The 16,683-nt window shown below is 33.7% G+C and overlaps 1 long non-coding RNA gene across 1 annotated transcript in view; it reads left to right on the top strand.

Annotated features, from left to right (window-relative positions):
• LOC105377842 (uncharacterized) overlaps positions 1 to 16,683 on the top strand; it is a 51,796-nt gene that overhangs the window by 23,157 nt on the left and 11,956 nt on the right. Inside the window, exons 3-5 of the long non-coding RNA XR_942658.3 lie at positions 3,642 to 3,775; positions 12,017 to 12,118; positions 13,114 to 13,255. This is a non-coding gene — a long non-coding RNA (uncharacterized LOC105377842). The remainder of the gene's footprint in view (positions 1 to 3,641; positions 3,776 to 12,016; positions 12,119 to 13,113; positions 13,256 to 16,683) is intronic.

Below are 16,683 nucleotides of genomic sequence, written 5' to 3' on the forward strand. Positions count from 1 at the left end.
TTCCAATAGTTGGCATAATTCTGTATGCACTGTCCATGTTTTTATTTTTATGGTAACTTTTATTATTTATGAAAGTATTGTTTAGAGTAATCTAACTGATATAACAAAAGGAACTTCAAATGGCTAAAAGCAGCACAAATCTATTTCTTACTCTTGCTTGTTCTGGAGAGCAGTTCATCAGGTGATCCTCTTTCATATAATAATTAAGGGATTCTAGAAGACAGAGTCTCTATAATTTTAAACAAAGCATTCTCTGAGATTGTCTTGAAGGTTGATTTCATTCCAGGCACCCAAAAGATAAGAAAATAAAAAAGAATAATGAACTTGGAATTTTGTTATGAACCATGCCTAGAAGTACACGCATCGCTTCTCCTCATGCACTTACTTTTCATTGGTGAGAAGTCCATGCCTAATTGCAAAAGAGAAAACCTACAAATCCATGCCTAATAGAAAAGGATTTGAGAAGCACAGAACTTGGTAGCTAATTTTTTGTAACGATTATGAATTGTTGCCTGAGGAAGTATAATTTATTGGTGGACTATCTCTGCCAACAAACCTAAGTCCAGAGCTATGTCTGATCATCATTCCTCACAGGATTGGACTAGTTCTTTATTAGCGTCATGATGGTTGACAATAGATTTGAGAGGAAAATGATAATAAGTCGGGGAAAGCAAGTATCTTAAATTAGTTGTTTTGTGGCTCTAAATCTGTTTTTTTTTTCTTTTTTTTGGAGACGGGAGTCTCGCTCAGTCGCCCAGGCTGGAGTGCAGTGGCGCAATCTCAGCTCACTGCAAGCTCCGCCTACCAGGTTCACGCCATACTCCTGCCTCAGCCTCCCAAGTAGCTGGGACTACAGGCGCCCGCCACCTCGCCCGGCTAATTGTTTGTATTTTTAGTAGAGACGGGGTTTTACCGTGTTAGTCAAGATGGTCTCGATCTCCTGACCTCGTGATCCGCCCGACTCGGCCTCCCAAAATGCTGGCATTACAGGCGTTAGCTACCGCGCCCGGCTGGCTTTAAATCTTTTACCAAATTTTCCTAGTAATACATTTTCTCAGAGATAACTGATCTCTGTGTTCTCTAACCTTCTACCAAGAAGGACCATGTAATTTGCAGGGCATATAAAGCACTGTGTTAGATAGACATTTGTGAAGGTACTCAGAAAGCTGTTCAGGTCTCTTAAGCTAATTATAAATTACACCTGCTGTATATATTTCTACCTGTCACTTTCATCCCACCCTCTTACATTGACACTCTGTTTCTGATCTCATCTTCAGTCACTACTAGCACATTGCAGCATGAAACAGAGTTAAGGGAGGGTATCATATTTTTTCTGACTGGATAAACTTGTTTTCCAAGTAAGATATTGCTGCGAAGGCCATAGAGTGATATGAAATATATTTTGGGAAAATTTAAATGTGTAAGAACTGTGTAAACATTTTTGCACCTCTAGTCTTCTCATACGTAGATTTACATTTTAGTTTTAAAGAGTTTTTTTTTTGAGTTTGGGGTCTATAAAATGATTCCAAAGTTTCCAAATAGCTTAAAACCTGATAGTAACTATAAAACATTTTCATACTGTAGTACACATACAAGCTTCTCAGTGGCAAATGAAAGAGGACTTTTTTCTCTTTTTACACTAGAGTGACCTGGAAAGGTTTCGTGTGTGTGTGTGTGTGTGTGGGGTGGGGGGGGATGGGGGTTTTCTGAATATAAAACTCAAACTCTGGTTACAGTTTGATAGATGAAAATAGGTAAAGGACATTCTAAACAGAGGAAATATGAAGTACAAAAATTTAAATCTATGAATCCATAATGTACATTTAGACATAAGCAACCTACATATATTTGCAATATATATTTAACAATATATGTAAATATATAGGTATATTCAGCAACATGTAAATATTCTAGATTTCTTCAATATATGTAGGTTATCTCTAAATTCTATTATATATATAAATATAAAGTAGAATAGATATATGGGTATAAATATAGAGTTTAATATAGATTTAAATGTAGATAGCTAGATAAATTACCAAAAAAATGGAAGTAGAAAGTCAAAACTGAATACATTGAGTATATACAGCCAAGATGAATCTCTATCCAGGTTGAAACTAAGAAAAATAAAACTTATTGCTTTTTAAGGGTGATTTACCAGGGAGGAGTTTGGTGGCAAAGAAAGTCTTGCTTTTCTGACAATATGAAATAAAAGAAAAAGATTACTATGAGCAAGAAGAAAGAATAAAAATGTAGCCTTCACCAAATGAATCCATGCTTTAGTGAAGGAAATAAGCATTTGAATTATAATTGTTGCCCAATAAATCTGTAAAATATCAATGCTGTGCAAACAGCAGAATGGACATGGAATTTAAGAGTCAAATAAAATGATTAGTTTTAAATTCTACTTTGCTAATTACTAGTTGTACACACATGGGCAAATTGCTTTGAGCTTTGAACTCAGTTTTCTCACTGGCTGTATTAGTTTCCTCTGGCTGCCATAACAAATTACCACAACTTAGTTAGATTAAACAACAACAAATTATTATCTCACAGTTCTGGAGGCCACAAGTCCTGATTAGGGCATCAGTAGGCCTGTGAGCTCATCAAAGGATCAATAGGAGTAAACTTTCTTTCCTCTTCCGGCTTCTGCTGACTCCAGGTGTTTCTTCCCTTGTGACAGCATAACTCCAGTCTGTGCCTCCATCTTCACATGGCTTTGTCTTCTTTATCAGTGTTTTTTTCTCTTCTATCTCTTACAGGGACACTTCCTATTGGATTTCCGGCCCACTCAATAATTCAGTATAATATCATCTCAAAAACCTTTAACTTGATTATTTCTGCAAAGACACTTGATATAGTTTGCATATTTGTTCCCTCCAAATCTTATATTGAAATAAATCCCCAATTTCAAAGGTGGAATATAGTGGGGACATTTGGGTCATAGGGACAGATGCTTCATGAATGGCTTTGTGCCCTCCCCATCGTGTAATGAATAAGTTCGTGCTTTACTAGTTCGTGGGAGGTCTGGTTGTTAAAGAGCCTGGGACCTCTCTTCTCCCACTTTCGTGCTCCCTCTCTTTATCTGTAACACACTGCCTCCCCTTGACTTCTGCCATGAGTAAAAGCTTTCTGAGGCCTTCGCCAGAAGCCTAACAGATGCCTAGTTCTTGTACAGCCTCCAGAACTGTGAGTCAACTAGACCTCTTTTCTTTATAAATTACCCAGTCCCAGATATTCCTTTATAGCAATGCAAAATAGACTGATACAACTTGTTTTTCAAATTAGGTCACATTCATGGTTTTCAGAGATTAGGACATGTATTTGAGTGGGCCTCCATTTAATTCACTATGCTGACACATACTGGGAAGTATAATACTTTCATAGAGAACATGGTATTATTCTTCCTAGCATTTCTGTATATATTTATAACTCTTTTATTTTGAGAGTTTGTATTTTCTGTAGGCCTTTTATCAAAGATTCTGTTGGTTAAACTGAAAATAGGGTAAATATCAGTCTATTCAGAATCCCCCGAGAATGCTCTTGGGAAATTGACACTCACTTTTTAAGATAATGGCTAGCCTTAAGGACAATAAAATATCAAAGTTGCTAGTGATTCATTTTTTACCCCTTGATTAAAGCGTGACTCAAAATAAGACCAACAAAGGAGTAAGATACACCTGAGAAATGTTTAAAGCAGCCCATATTCCTGAGACCATCATCATACTCCTGTAACCACTTCTGACTCTACCTATTCTTCTTTTGAACTTGTTGGGTAAGTGAGCAAATATATCCCCTCCTCAGATTATGTTGCTAGAACTTTAATTTCTACCAGACAGTATATAAAAATTGTTGTAAATGTTACGGTAGTATGTGTAAAGAACATAGCATGGTGCTTAAATATTATTTTTCTTTCCATTATAAAGTATGTTTATTTACAAATCACACATGTTGGTTTTCTGCATTTTACCCCAGAGTTGAAAGAAAAGGGAATTTCTGTAAGAAATGGTACCAATCTAATTAAATGATTCATTCCTTGACCTACTGTTTCGAAGAGGATTTTTCTGCCACTTTTGTTTAGTGTAGTTAATCCAGAAACTTTACTTGACCACAAAAAGCAATTGTTTTTGAGAGTGTCAAACGCAGACCTGATGAACAGGGAACTTTTTTCAGTTGAAGCGGTAATAGGAGCCTATCAGCATATCTATTGTTCCTTTCATTAATCACCTGCCAATAAAAGCCACTGACATGCCTTACAGGATCCCTTAGTGCACTTGGCACAAGATACGTGGTGCTTGATCAGTCTATAGTACTTGATGTATAGATGTATGCCTTTATGGTACCCAGGAAAATATATCTTAATAGCAGGAAAATTTGTTGCTAAAACAAACACTTTTGAAACACCATTGTCATGCTGGGATATATGAAACACTCTTTGTCTTTCTTAATTCTGTTCAAATGAGCAACAGATATGGAAACCTAGCCTTAAGTTGGTCATGCAAACAATTTGTATATTCACATAAAACTGTATTTGAAAATATATTTAATTTACAAATTTTTTTCCTTGTACCACAAAGAGTCATTAGTTGTCAATTTGTAGAAGATGGCACAACCATATGTAAAAATGATTACATGGCAAAATTATCACCATGCATCATATTTATACATTTTTCATTGAAGCCTTTAGTTTAAAAGGTAGTCATCTGTTCTTAATAGTTTAACAAATATTTGCCTATAAAACTGTATTGATGCATTACGTAAAATAAAGAAAAGCAGTTAAACTTTATTAATCTAATATATAAAGAATCTGCAGATACGAATATATGAGTTTCATTTAGCCATTGATCAAATAGTTATAACACACCAAAGACCCTAGCAATTAATAGATTTAGTAAACAAAGTTTCATAATTCTTAAACAGATAACTTTTATGGATATCAGGGCTTGCAACTGAAACAAGCTAATCAATAATTTGAGATATCAATGTTAATGTACAGAGAAAATATACAGCCACTTAATGTTAACTTTTGAGTACTTCCCATTAAAAAATTCTTAATTATTTATCATCAAACTAGATCATCGTTAAGGATATAAAGTAAGTATTTTAATATTTTAATTTTTTTCTTTGATTAGTTACACTGCATATGTAGCCTGTAATGACAATCTAGCTGGCTGATACACACGCACACACACGCATGCTCACGCGCGCGCGCGCGCACACACACACACACCCACACATACATAATACATATATGGATTTGACAATTCTCTTGGAAGGATCTTTCAAAAGTTGATATTGGATTATAATTTATTTTTATGCCATGAATATGAGTATAAACCTTAATGGAATCAAGGAATGTAAACAAGGATATTTGAATGAAGATAATTCCAGGCAAAGCAAACCAAGTTCAAGGGCTTCACAGAGGAGTATATTTGATCCATTCTCTGGACTCATAGTTGACTGGTGATGCTGGTGTTCTTGGAGATCTGATCTGAAAACAAAGACAAAGAACACTAATAAAAGAGACCAGTCTGCTGCAGTAAGAGTGGAAGGAGGGAAATGAGTCAGGAAGCAACTAGGTATTGTAATTCAGGCAAGAGAGGCATGCCACTGGGATTAGAGTCTAGTTTGAGATTTGATGAAAAGTTCCTAACTTTTTAAAGGTAAAGTCTTCATGACATTTTTATCAATTGGTTGTTAGTACTTGGAGAAAGAGGGGAGCCAAGGATGACTAGAGGTTTTCATCTTGAGGTAGAGGCTATGCAGATGCTTTGCTGAAGATGGGAACTGCATTGGCAGCCAATAATTTTCTATGAAACCCAAGATTTGAACAGACTAAGTCTCAGATGTTTTTCAGACATTCATGTTGAAGTGTCTAGCATATACTTAGATATATTATTAAGGATTTCAGAATATATAATTTGGAAGCCATCATTTGGACTGGATGAGATCACCAGAGCTATGCTGTCCCATATAGTAGCCCATGTGGCCATAGCATTTAAATAGAAATTAATCAAAGCTAAACTAAAATGTAAAATTCAGTTTCTCAGTCACATTACCCATGTTTCAAGTGCCTAATAGTCACAAGTAGCCACTGGCCTCAATATTTAACAGTGTGGAACATTTTTATCAACCCTGTTTGAGTTCTGTATACTGACATACTATAGCTTTTTATGAAAAAGAAATTTCTCTCTCTTTTTAACACCATTTGTCACTGTGATGGTTAATATTGAGTGTCAACTTGATTGGATTGAAATAGGCAAACTATTGTTCCTGGGTGTGTCTGTGAGGGTACTGCCAAAGGAGATTAAAGGAGATTAACATTTGAGTCAGTGGACTGGGAGAGGCAGACCTATCCTCAATCTGGGTGGACACCATCTAATCAGCTGCCAGTGCAGCTAGAATAAAGCAGGCAGAAGTTGGAAGGACTTCACTTGGTGAATCTTCTGAGCTTCATTTTTCTCCACTTCTGGGTGCTTCCTGGCCTCAAACATCAGACTCCAAGTTCTTCAGCTTTTTGACCCATGGACTTACACCAGTGATTTGCCAGGGGCTCTTGGGCCTTTGGCCACAGACTGAAGGCTGCACTGTTGGCTTCCCTACTTTTGAGGTTTTGAAACTCAGACTGATCCACCACTGGCTTCCTTGCTCCTCAACTTGCAGATGGCCTATTGTGGGAATTTGCCTTGTGATCATGTGTGTCAATTCTCTTTAACAAACTCCCTTTCATATATAAAAATGTCCTGTTATTTCTGTCTCTCTAGAGAACTCTGGTTAATACAGTCACTCGATTAATAAGTAACTTTAAGAGTTAAAATATGTTGATACTTAACCTAATGCATTCCATCCATATATCAATTTAGTTTTATGAATAAACTGAAGAACATAAATGTTAATCTCCCCAATCCATTCTCAAAACACACATAAATATATCTCCATTTACTAAAGCAGTTTGTCAGAATTTTTTAAACTTTAATAAGGAGTTATTTAGCAAGAAAAATAAGTGTGAATGTGTGTATGTGTGTGTATGTGTGTGTGTACTATAAGGAATGTAATTCTTAAGATAACTCATCTAGCTTCAAATTCTAGTCTTGCCTTTTCTCAGCTGTGTACACTAGGCAAATTATTTAAACTCCTTAAATCCTGTTTTCCTTATGGGTAAAATGGGAATAACAATGCCTACCTCCAAGTGTTATTATGAGGATCAAAATAGCTAATGATGGCTATAAGCATCTTAGCACAGTATCTAACACATTGTAAGTACAAAATAAATTTTGGCTTGAAAAATATCAAGTGATAACACTGTACAACTATGTAGAAGTAAATTATTAGACATGTTGAACATAGTATAACTTTAGTAAATTTTAAAATAAAGAAAGATTTTCTATAAATTTACCAAAGTTTTTACATGACTTTTGTTTGTAGCATTAATATAAATGTTGCATTTTTAAAGACACTAAATGAACACGTATGGAATTAATAAAAACATTGATTCCTCTGAGCCCCTCAAAAGCCATATATTTTGTATATTTTTATATATAATATATATTAGAATATTCCTTTATTTTCTAAATGTTTTTATGATCAGTATATGCTTTAGCATATTTTGGCCTCTCATTCACAGCAGAAGCTCATTATCAGCACAAGAGTTGGCAGCAAAACTAGTGCTGAAAGATGGAGATAAGTAAGCTTCACACATCTTCTCCAGTTACATAAGTGAATGAATATCCTACTAAAAGTTGGATTTCCCTCACTTGCAGTTAGTGGAAACCTAAACAACACAGATTTTATGCCTGTTTTGAGAGTGGATGCTATGTTTTTATCTAATTGGTGAATATTTTTTGTTTTATGTAATTACTGTTGTTTTATGTAATTACTATTACATAAAATGTAATTTGTTTTATGTAATTACTATTGTTTCTAACAATAGACCAAAGACTAATAGACTTCAGAAGAAGGTGAAAATTGTTTTGTTAGTATTTTCATCATTCTACAGTGAGAAGATCATTCACAATAGCCAAGATGTAGAAACAAACTAAGCGTTCTGCCATTTCCCATAACACTGATAAAGCTGGAGATCAGTATGCTAAATGAAATAAGACAGACAAACATACAAAAATATTACGTGATCTTTCTCATGTGTGGCACCATAGAAAGTAAAATATAGAGAGGCTGAGAATAAAACAGTGGTTAAGAGGGGTGGAAGTGGAGGAGTTATATGGGAAGATGTAGGCCAGAGAATATAAAATAGCAGATATATTAGATTAACAAGTTTAGACATCAAATGTATGATCATAGAAATATAAGTAATAAAACTGTATTATATTTGAGTACAGCAAATGAGTGGATTTTAGCTGCTCCTGACACAAAAACAAAAATATGGGCAGTTATGTGAAATAATGTATTTGTTAATTTGCTTTACTATGTTAATCATCTGCATCTGTACGCTATTTACAAGTATTTTACTATCTATATATATCCAATGACATCATGTTGTATACCTTAAATATAGACAACAAAATTTGTTTAAAGAAAGAGAAGAAAAATATTTTAAAGAGGTTGTCTGTATAGTTCCTGTTTATATTTTTAGAGAAGTTGATCTAAATTCTCCTTCATAACAGTCACCTAAGATGTATATTCTTCTCTGTAGTTAATAAGCATGCAATTCTATTTCTATCACCACCTGTTTAACCTGCAAGTCCACCATAATCTTGAACATTTAAATATTTATAGTATTAGAGAATTCTCATAAGTGAAATTATTATAATTTGAAATGCTTCCAATGAATTACTCAAATCCCTTATACTGTAATAATAAACTTGTTTTATATTTGGACCTAGGAATTCAATAATAATGTCTCTATTTTTTTTTTTTTTTGAGACGGAGTCTCGCTCTGTCACCCAAGCTGGAGTGCAGTGGTGTGATCTCGGCTCACTGCAAGCTCTGCCTCCCGGGTTCACGCCATTCTCCTGCCTCAGCCTCCGGAGTAGCTGGGACTACAGGCGACCACTACCACACACGGCTAATTTTTTGTATTTTTAGTAGAGATGTGGTTTCACCGTGTTACTCAGGATGGTCTCGATCTCCTGACCTCGTGATCCACCCGCCTCGGCCTCCCAAAGTGCTGGGATTAGAGGCGTGAGCCACTGCGCCCAGCCATAATGTTTCTATTTTTATATTATCATTAATATAATTAAATTATATATAATTAATGAGATAGTTTGGATAAAATACCAAATATAGAAGAGATGGGTAAAGTCTTGAGTTAAAATAGACTAGGTTATGTATTCAAATTTCAACAGCCTACCCCCAACAGAAATTATGGTTTGGAAATGGTACATACTTTATTTAAGTTAGTGGGACTTACTCCATTCAATCATGTAAATCTCTCAGAATTTTTTTTAAATTAAAATATAAGTTGATGAAGAAATAGACTTCATCTAGCATACTATTCTATGTCCAGTGCATACCTAATGTCTGTAACATGTTACACATTTAATATTTGTTTGTTGAAGGAAAAGAATAATTATTGATTTAAAATGAATATAATAATAGAAATAGAGTGATAAGTATTAAAATCTTGTTGGAATGGGAAAGAGTAAAAAAAGACCACATATTCTATTAGGACTTAAAACCACTAACAAATTTAAGATGTAAACATTTACGTGAAAAAAATTTCCTGACAGATTGTAAATATTTGAAAATATTTGAAATTATAAAATAATGTAAATTGATGAATTTGATTCTAAAATTGGAAATATGTAATACCCATAACAAAATTTCACCCAGATATGAATAAGAGTTCAAATAAAAATAAAATATGGGCTGGGTGTGGTGGCTTTCCCCTCTAATCCCAGGAATTTGGGAGGCCAAGGCATGCAGATGGCTTGAGGCCAGGAGTTCCAGACCAGCCTGGCCAACATAGTGAAAACCTGTCTCTACTAAAAATACAAAGATTAGCTGGGCATGGAGGCTGGCACCTGTAATCCCAGCTACTCCAGAGGCTGAGGCACAAGAATTGCTTGAACTCGGGAGGCAGAGGTCGCAGTGAACAGAGATTGCGCCACTGCACTCCAGATGTGCCACAGAACAAGATTGTCTCAAAAAAAAAATAAATAAATAAACAAATAAAAAATGTAATGGGAGACTTCCAGTCTAAAAAAGAAAAAAAAAAAGATATGAAGATAATTCAAAGTATGTGAAATGATATTTCTGGAGAAAGATTTTGTATCTTTCACTGTAGTAGTATAAGTATTTTTGAAATCTATAATGCATATATACAATTACCTGATTGCTTGAAGAAATATCCTTTCAACATATATGTGTGCCTTCTATGTGCTTAGCAGTTAATACTTTCCTCATGAGGTTTATTTTATAGAGGATCTTGATAAAATAATTAAGCATATGATAAAAATAGATTTCTTCTAATATATATAATATATACAAATGAATATAAGTTTATATTCATGGCATAATTCTTAATGCATGTGTGTTTATTATTAAATTTTAATAAATCATACTATTTAGTCTGTTGAGGTAATCCTTAGTAAGAAAATCAGAGCTAATTTATCCAGCATTTTCTTTTGATAATAAATTTTTCAAAAATGATAAACTTGCTTTTTTATCTGTAGCATCAGTTACAAGGTCAAATGAATACATCAAAACTGTTACTGAGTGGAGAGGATTATAGTCCAGTGAAAAAAATAAAAAATATAAATTGAACCACAAGGAAATCCAGATTACAAATTTGATTAGTTTCTTGGTAGAAATGGCATAGCAACACATCCCTGAGTATTTTCCATAAAATGGCATATTCAGTTAACAAATCTATCCTTGTAGTTATAGATCTATTGTTCCTGTTTTCCCCTAAGATTATAATTCATAGGCTATATAACTTGTAAGATTATTATAACTTAATGTTAAGTCTTCTGATTATAAATGAACATGTTTACTTTGTTTTTAGATCAAAAGCAATGTAATGTTTACCTCAATGATTGATGATGAAACCAGAACATAATTCATTTGATATATAATAAAATCTCATACTACTGTTTCAGTTTAAAGATCATCAACTTTTCCAATGTAGTAGAAAAAAAAAATACTCAGCAACCTGGAAAATGATCCTTGGATGTATCATTTGTACCTAATGAAAAAGAATCTATTGCTTTTGCCAGTGAGCTCTTTTTCAGTGTCACGTACAAAGATCCCTTAGGCCTCATCATGTTAGTATATCTGTTTATTCTTAGTTGAATCAGAAATGACAATGAGTCTTTTGTGAATCCACAAATATTCCTTAAACTATAAAATTACATGATAAATGTTATTATTATACAATAATAGTAGGTTGCTTCAAGTTTCAATAGGCTGAAATGCAGTCTCACAAACTCTTTTCAGATTATCATTGACTGAACAATCTTGAATTAAGCACCCAATACAAGCCTTGCACCATAAAATTATTTTTCCAAATTGTGTTGTTTTATTGTACAAAATGGAAATAACATGACTTATTACTTAGGAGACAGTATCTGCATCCAAGACCTGGTATTGGGTATAATGAGCAGGACTGAAGCAGAATAAAAGCTGTAACTTAACAAAACATAGAAATTTAGTGATGCATTTGAGCTATTAACTGTTCTGGTGAAAAGAGGTTATTTTGTTTCCTTTGTGTTCCTTTTATTTACATGTTACAAGTATGAGCTGATGCAAAGCAAATGCCAGGCTCAGGTGAAAGGTGATTAAAGGGACTGTGACACCCATCAGAGTATAGAAAAAGGTCAAATGGAAAATCATGTAGGCTTTTTCCAGTTTCCATCAACTGATTTATCATTTTTAATTCAAAAAATAACAAAATAATGACTGCTATAAAATTGACATTTCTAAAGAAAAAATAATTTTGTTATGAGTCTAAAGGAGTTTGTGGCAGCAGCCTATTTATATTATTATTATAATAAATAGATATTGTTATTGTTTTCAATTGAAACAGTTACTTAATTTCAAAATTTTCTTTTAATATAAGGTCTTTTAGGAGCACCAGTCATCAAGTTATAGCAAAATACAAAGTATAAGACTCTGGGATGCAAAGTTGAATAACAATTGTGCACATCTAATGGAAGCTCAGGTATTTGAATAGAAAGTTTGCAATGTAACATGAAACATAAAAGTACGGTATTTAAACAAGTATTGTGAGATATCAGTGAGTAGTTTATTAATTTTTCTTTGGAGAGTTAGTGAAGATGTCAGAAAAGAGTTTATCTTTGAACTGAGGCTAAAATGGCTAAAAACTATCTAGAAATTTTATTTCTAGCAATAGAGCTCTTTAAGTATCTGAATTACCTCCCTTGCAAAAATAAAAGTCCCACAAACAGTCCAGGCGGTTGGGTGTGGGGATGGTGGTGGGGTTGGGAAACAACTCTTCTTAAATGCACCAGGGAGCTCAAAGAAATAGTTATCTTTCGAATCCTTGAGGTTAGGAGATTAGCGAGATGAAAAAACAAAAGCAATGAAGACAGCTTTCAGGCTTATGGCAATTGTTTATTTTGATGAACTTGAGCTTTAGATTTTCATTGCCTCCTGGAACCTAGGAATGGAATACAAAATTCACGGCATGCCCCACAGTAAAGGTTCATAGAAAATCCTTTTCATCTCAAGACTTAAGTGTTAAGAATGAGCCAGATATAAGCCTTTCCATTTTCAGTCAACCACAAACCAAAGAAAAATGACTTTCTTGAACCTTCATAATATACAGAAAAGGAAAAATAAATATTATTGTGAATGGTTTCCTCATTTAAAAAAATGTTGAAAAACATTAAGCATTTCTTTTCTCTTGTTCCTAGGGCTGGTTATGGCCCCCATTCGATTAAAATATAGAAATATAGAAAGGGCAAGTCCCCAGACAGAGAACAGCTGGCCTGATGCTGGAGGCCATTATAAGATCAAACATCATTTTTATGTGTCTGAAAGCTTGACTACTCTGTCTTTTTAAATTACCCCAACACTCAGAGACACCAGGGCAAGCTAGAGGTAGTTGTTGGATTGTTTGAAGGAGAGAAATAAGTAGTGTATACGGAGTTATGTTAAGATTTCTTTCTCTCACAGATCCTAATTTTTCTGCAGCACATGTTATAATAGATCTACTCTTGAATTGATTGCTGCTTGTCACAGAAATAGCACAAGGACTTGATTCACCTTAAGATAAATATGAAATGAGACTACATTGTAGACTCTGTAAAATTTCCCAGGGTCAGTATTGCAACAGGTAGGTATGCCAACCTTCATTGATTCTAGTCCAACAATATATATTTATTAATCATTTTTAATTTGTTTATTCAGTAAGTTACCTTATTTGTAGCCACAATATTTTACACAAAGTGTTTTACAAATCTTTGTAGCAATTACTTGAAATATAATATTAAAAGATTATAAAGATTAAAAATGATTTTAGATCAATATTCATGAATTTTAAAGTGGAAACAGAGAAAATTAAGTCATAAGGCATTATGCAATTGTTATTTTTAAACAATATTTTTATGTTAAGCTTTCTGGTGGTTAAAACTCAAAGGAAACTTATATTTCAAGACCTATAAGGGGAAAATACTTATTTATCATTTTGGGTCAGTGTTCTTGTTCTAACAAAGTACTTTTGTATTCCACAAGGTGAACCCATTGGCCCATCACCCTTCTGTATGTACTTATCTTAGATGAGTGCATTTCCTCTCTATCAAGTCAAAGCCTCTCCTAATTTGGGACTTGACTATTGATTCTTCTATCTATTTTCCATATGGTCTTTCACAAGAATTTACATTTGAAAATGTTTGCAGCTTAATCATTTTACCTCCTTCTTCTCTATATAGTCTTTATTTTCTTTAGTATTTATTAGCACTCTGTCCTTGCCAGCAGCCTTCCTAGAATGAGTATCTTCCCATCCCCTGCTCCATGCCACCATGTCAAATCACACCAAAGTACTGTTTATATTTTTTCCTTCTCAATATGTTTAAATAAGCATAATCTTCTTCATTCCAAGTGCCTCTATTCTTAGTCATTTCATACTATTCCTCTAATTGCCACTAAACAGATATACTTTTCTAAAGAGTTTTCTAAAACTGATACACTTTTAAAAAGAGTTTTCTAAAACTCTTCAATGGACCATAGCACTTACTGCATAAAACTACTTAACAAGGACCAAATACTTCCAAATTCATTCTACATGGCCAGTATTATCTTGGCACCAAAACAAGACAAAGACATATTTTTTTAAAAAAAAAAGACTGCAGAACAAGATACCTAATGAACATTGATGCAAAATTCCTTAACAAAATACTAGCAAACTGAATTAAACAACGTATTAAAAAGATCTTTCACCATCACCAAGTTGGATTTATCCCAGTGATGCAAGGATGTTTCAATATATGCAAATTAATTAATACAATACATCATAGCAAACGAATGAAGGAAAAAAACACATATGATCATTTCACTTGGTGTTGAAGAAGCATTTAATAAAATTCAACATCTCTTTATAATAATAACCCTCAATAATGTGTATGGAAGGAACATACCTCAACACAATAAAAGCCTTATATGACGGATTCACAACTAATATCATACTGAGTGGGCAAATACTGAAAACTTTTTATCTAAGTTCATGAACACAAGGATACCCATTTTTACCAGTGTTATGTAACATAGTGCTGGAAGACCTAGTTAGAGCAATCAGACAAGAGAAAGAAATAAAGGGCATGCAAATTGGAAAATAAGAAGTCAAGTAATCCTTGTTTGCAAATCATATGGCGTTATATTTGGAAAACCTAAGGACTCCACCAAAAATTATTAGAACTGACCACAAATTCAGTAAAGTTACAGGACACAAAATCAACATATGAAAGTCAGTAGCATTTCTATATGCCAACTGCACAATCTGAAAAAGAAATCGAGAACGTTATTTCATTTACAACCACTACAAATAAAATAAAATACCTAAAAATAAACTTAACCAAATCTCTACAGTGAAAATTATAGAACTTTGATCAAATAAATTGAATAGGACACAAGAAAATGGAAAGATATTCCATGTTCATGGATTTGAATAATCAAGGTAATTAAAATTTCCATGCTAATCAAACAATCTACATTTTCAAAACAATTTTTATCAAAATACCAATGACATTCTTCACAGAATTAGAAAAAATCCTAAAATTTATATGGAACCAAAAATGACCCAGAGTAGCCAAACCTATCCTGGAAAAAAAGAACAAAACTGAAGGAATCACAGTACCAGACTTCAGATTACACTATAGAGCTATGATAACCAAGACAGTATCATATGGGCATAAAAATAAACACATGGACCAATGATACAGAATCGAGAACAGAGAAATAAATCCATACAAGTACAGTGAGCTCATTTTTGACAAAGGCACCAAGAACATACATTGAGGAAACGACAGTCTCTTCAATAAATGGTGCTAGGAAACTGGCTATCCATATGTAGAACAATAAAACTATATCCTTATCTCTCACCATATACAAAAATCAAATAAAAATTCATTAGAGAATTAAATCCAACATCTTAAGGAATGAAACTAACAAATGCAAACTTTGAGAAACTCTCCAGGACATTGGACTAGGCAACAATTTCTTGAGTGATACCACACCCTGGTATACATATACATTATTTTGAGAATTGCTAACTCATACATCTATATAGTGTTTAAGTTTTTTGTCCTTAATTTTACATTATCTAATCAAAATATCCTTCTTCAAAAACAGGTTAGTTGTTTTAATCTCAATCCCTTTCGGTGTGGTTAATATACTCATGTTTAGTTGCTATGGTTTGAAATTTATTTTGGGTTCATGTACATTCTATCTATTTTTTTACATTCATACATAGTAAAATGTAGTGTTTCACAGCGCTTTAGGTTTTAACAACTGCATAGAATTGTGTATTCACTACCGCATTCAGTATAAAAAGCTGTTCAATCACCTCCTAAATATACCTTTGTGCTTCCCTTTATAATCCATCCTCCCTACACCACAAAATCTTATACGGACTTATTTCTGTTCCAATCTTTGGACTTATCTGAAGTTTATATGCATGACTAATCCATCTGCTTATCTACCTGTGTTCTCACACACACACACATAACACACACATACACACACACACACATAGGTGATAGTAGAGTGCATGTCTATTGATGACTAGTAGTCTATTTTATGGATGTACCATAGGTTGTGTATCTAGTCACCAATTTAAAGACATCTAGGGCATATCTAGTTTGGGATAATTATGAATAAAGTTATTAATGAAGAGTATAAAGTTAGTAAATATGAATGTACTGATCTTTTGCAATTATACATTTTTATTTATTTTGTATTAAGGATGGAGATTTCCGGGTATGATGTTCAGAGTTAGGTGTCAACCTTAGCGAGCTAAGGGATGTCCAGACAGCTGGTACAACATTGTTTCTGGGTGTGTCTGTCAGAGTGTTTCTGGAAGAGATTAGCATTTGAATCAGTAGACTAAATAAAGAAGATTGCCTACATTAATGCAGTGGACATTATCCAATCCATGGAGAGCCAAACTGAAAAAAAACGTGGTGCAGGAGGGCAAATTTGCACTCTCTTTTAGCTGGGAAATCGATCTCCTGCCCTTGAACATCAGCTCCCCTGGTTTTCAGGCATATG

The sequence above is a fragment of the Homo sapiens genome, chromosome 6 (genome assembly GCF_000001405.40).
Source record: "Homo sapiens chromosome 6, GRCh38.p14 Primary Assembly".
Lineage (NCBI taxonomy): Eukaryota > Metazoa > Chordata > Mammalia > Primates > Hominidae > Homo > Homo sapiens.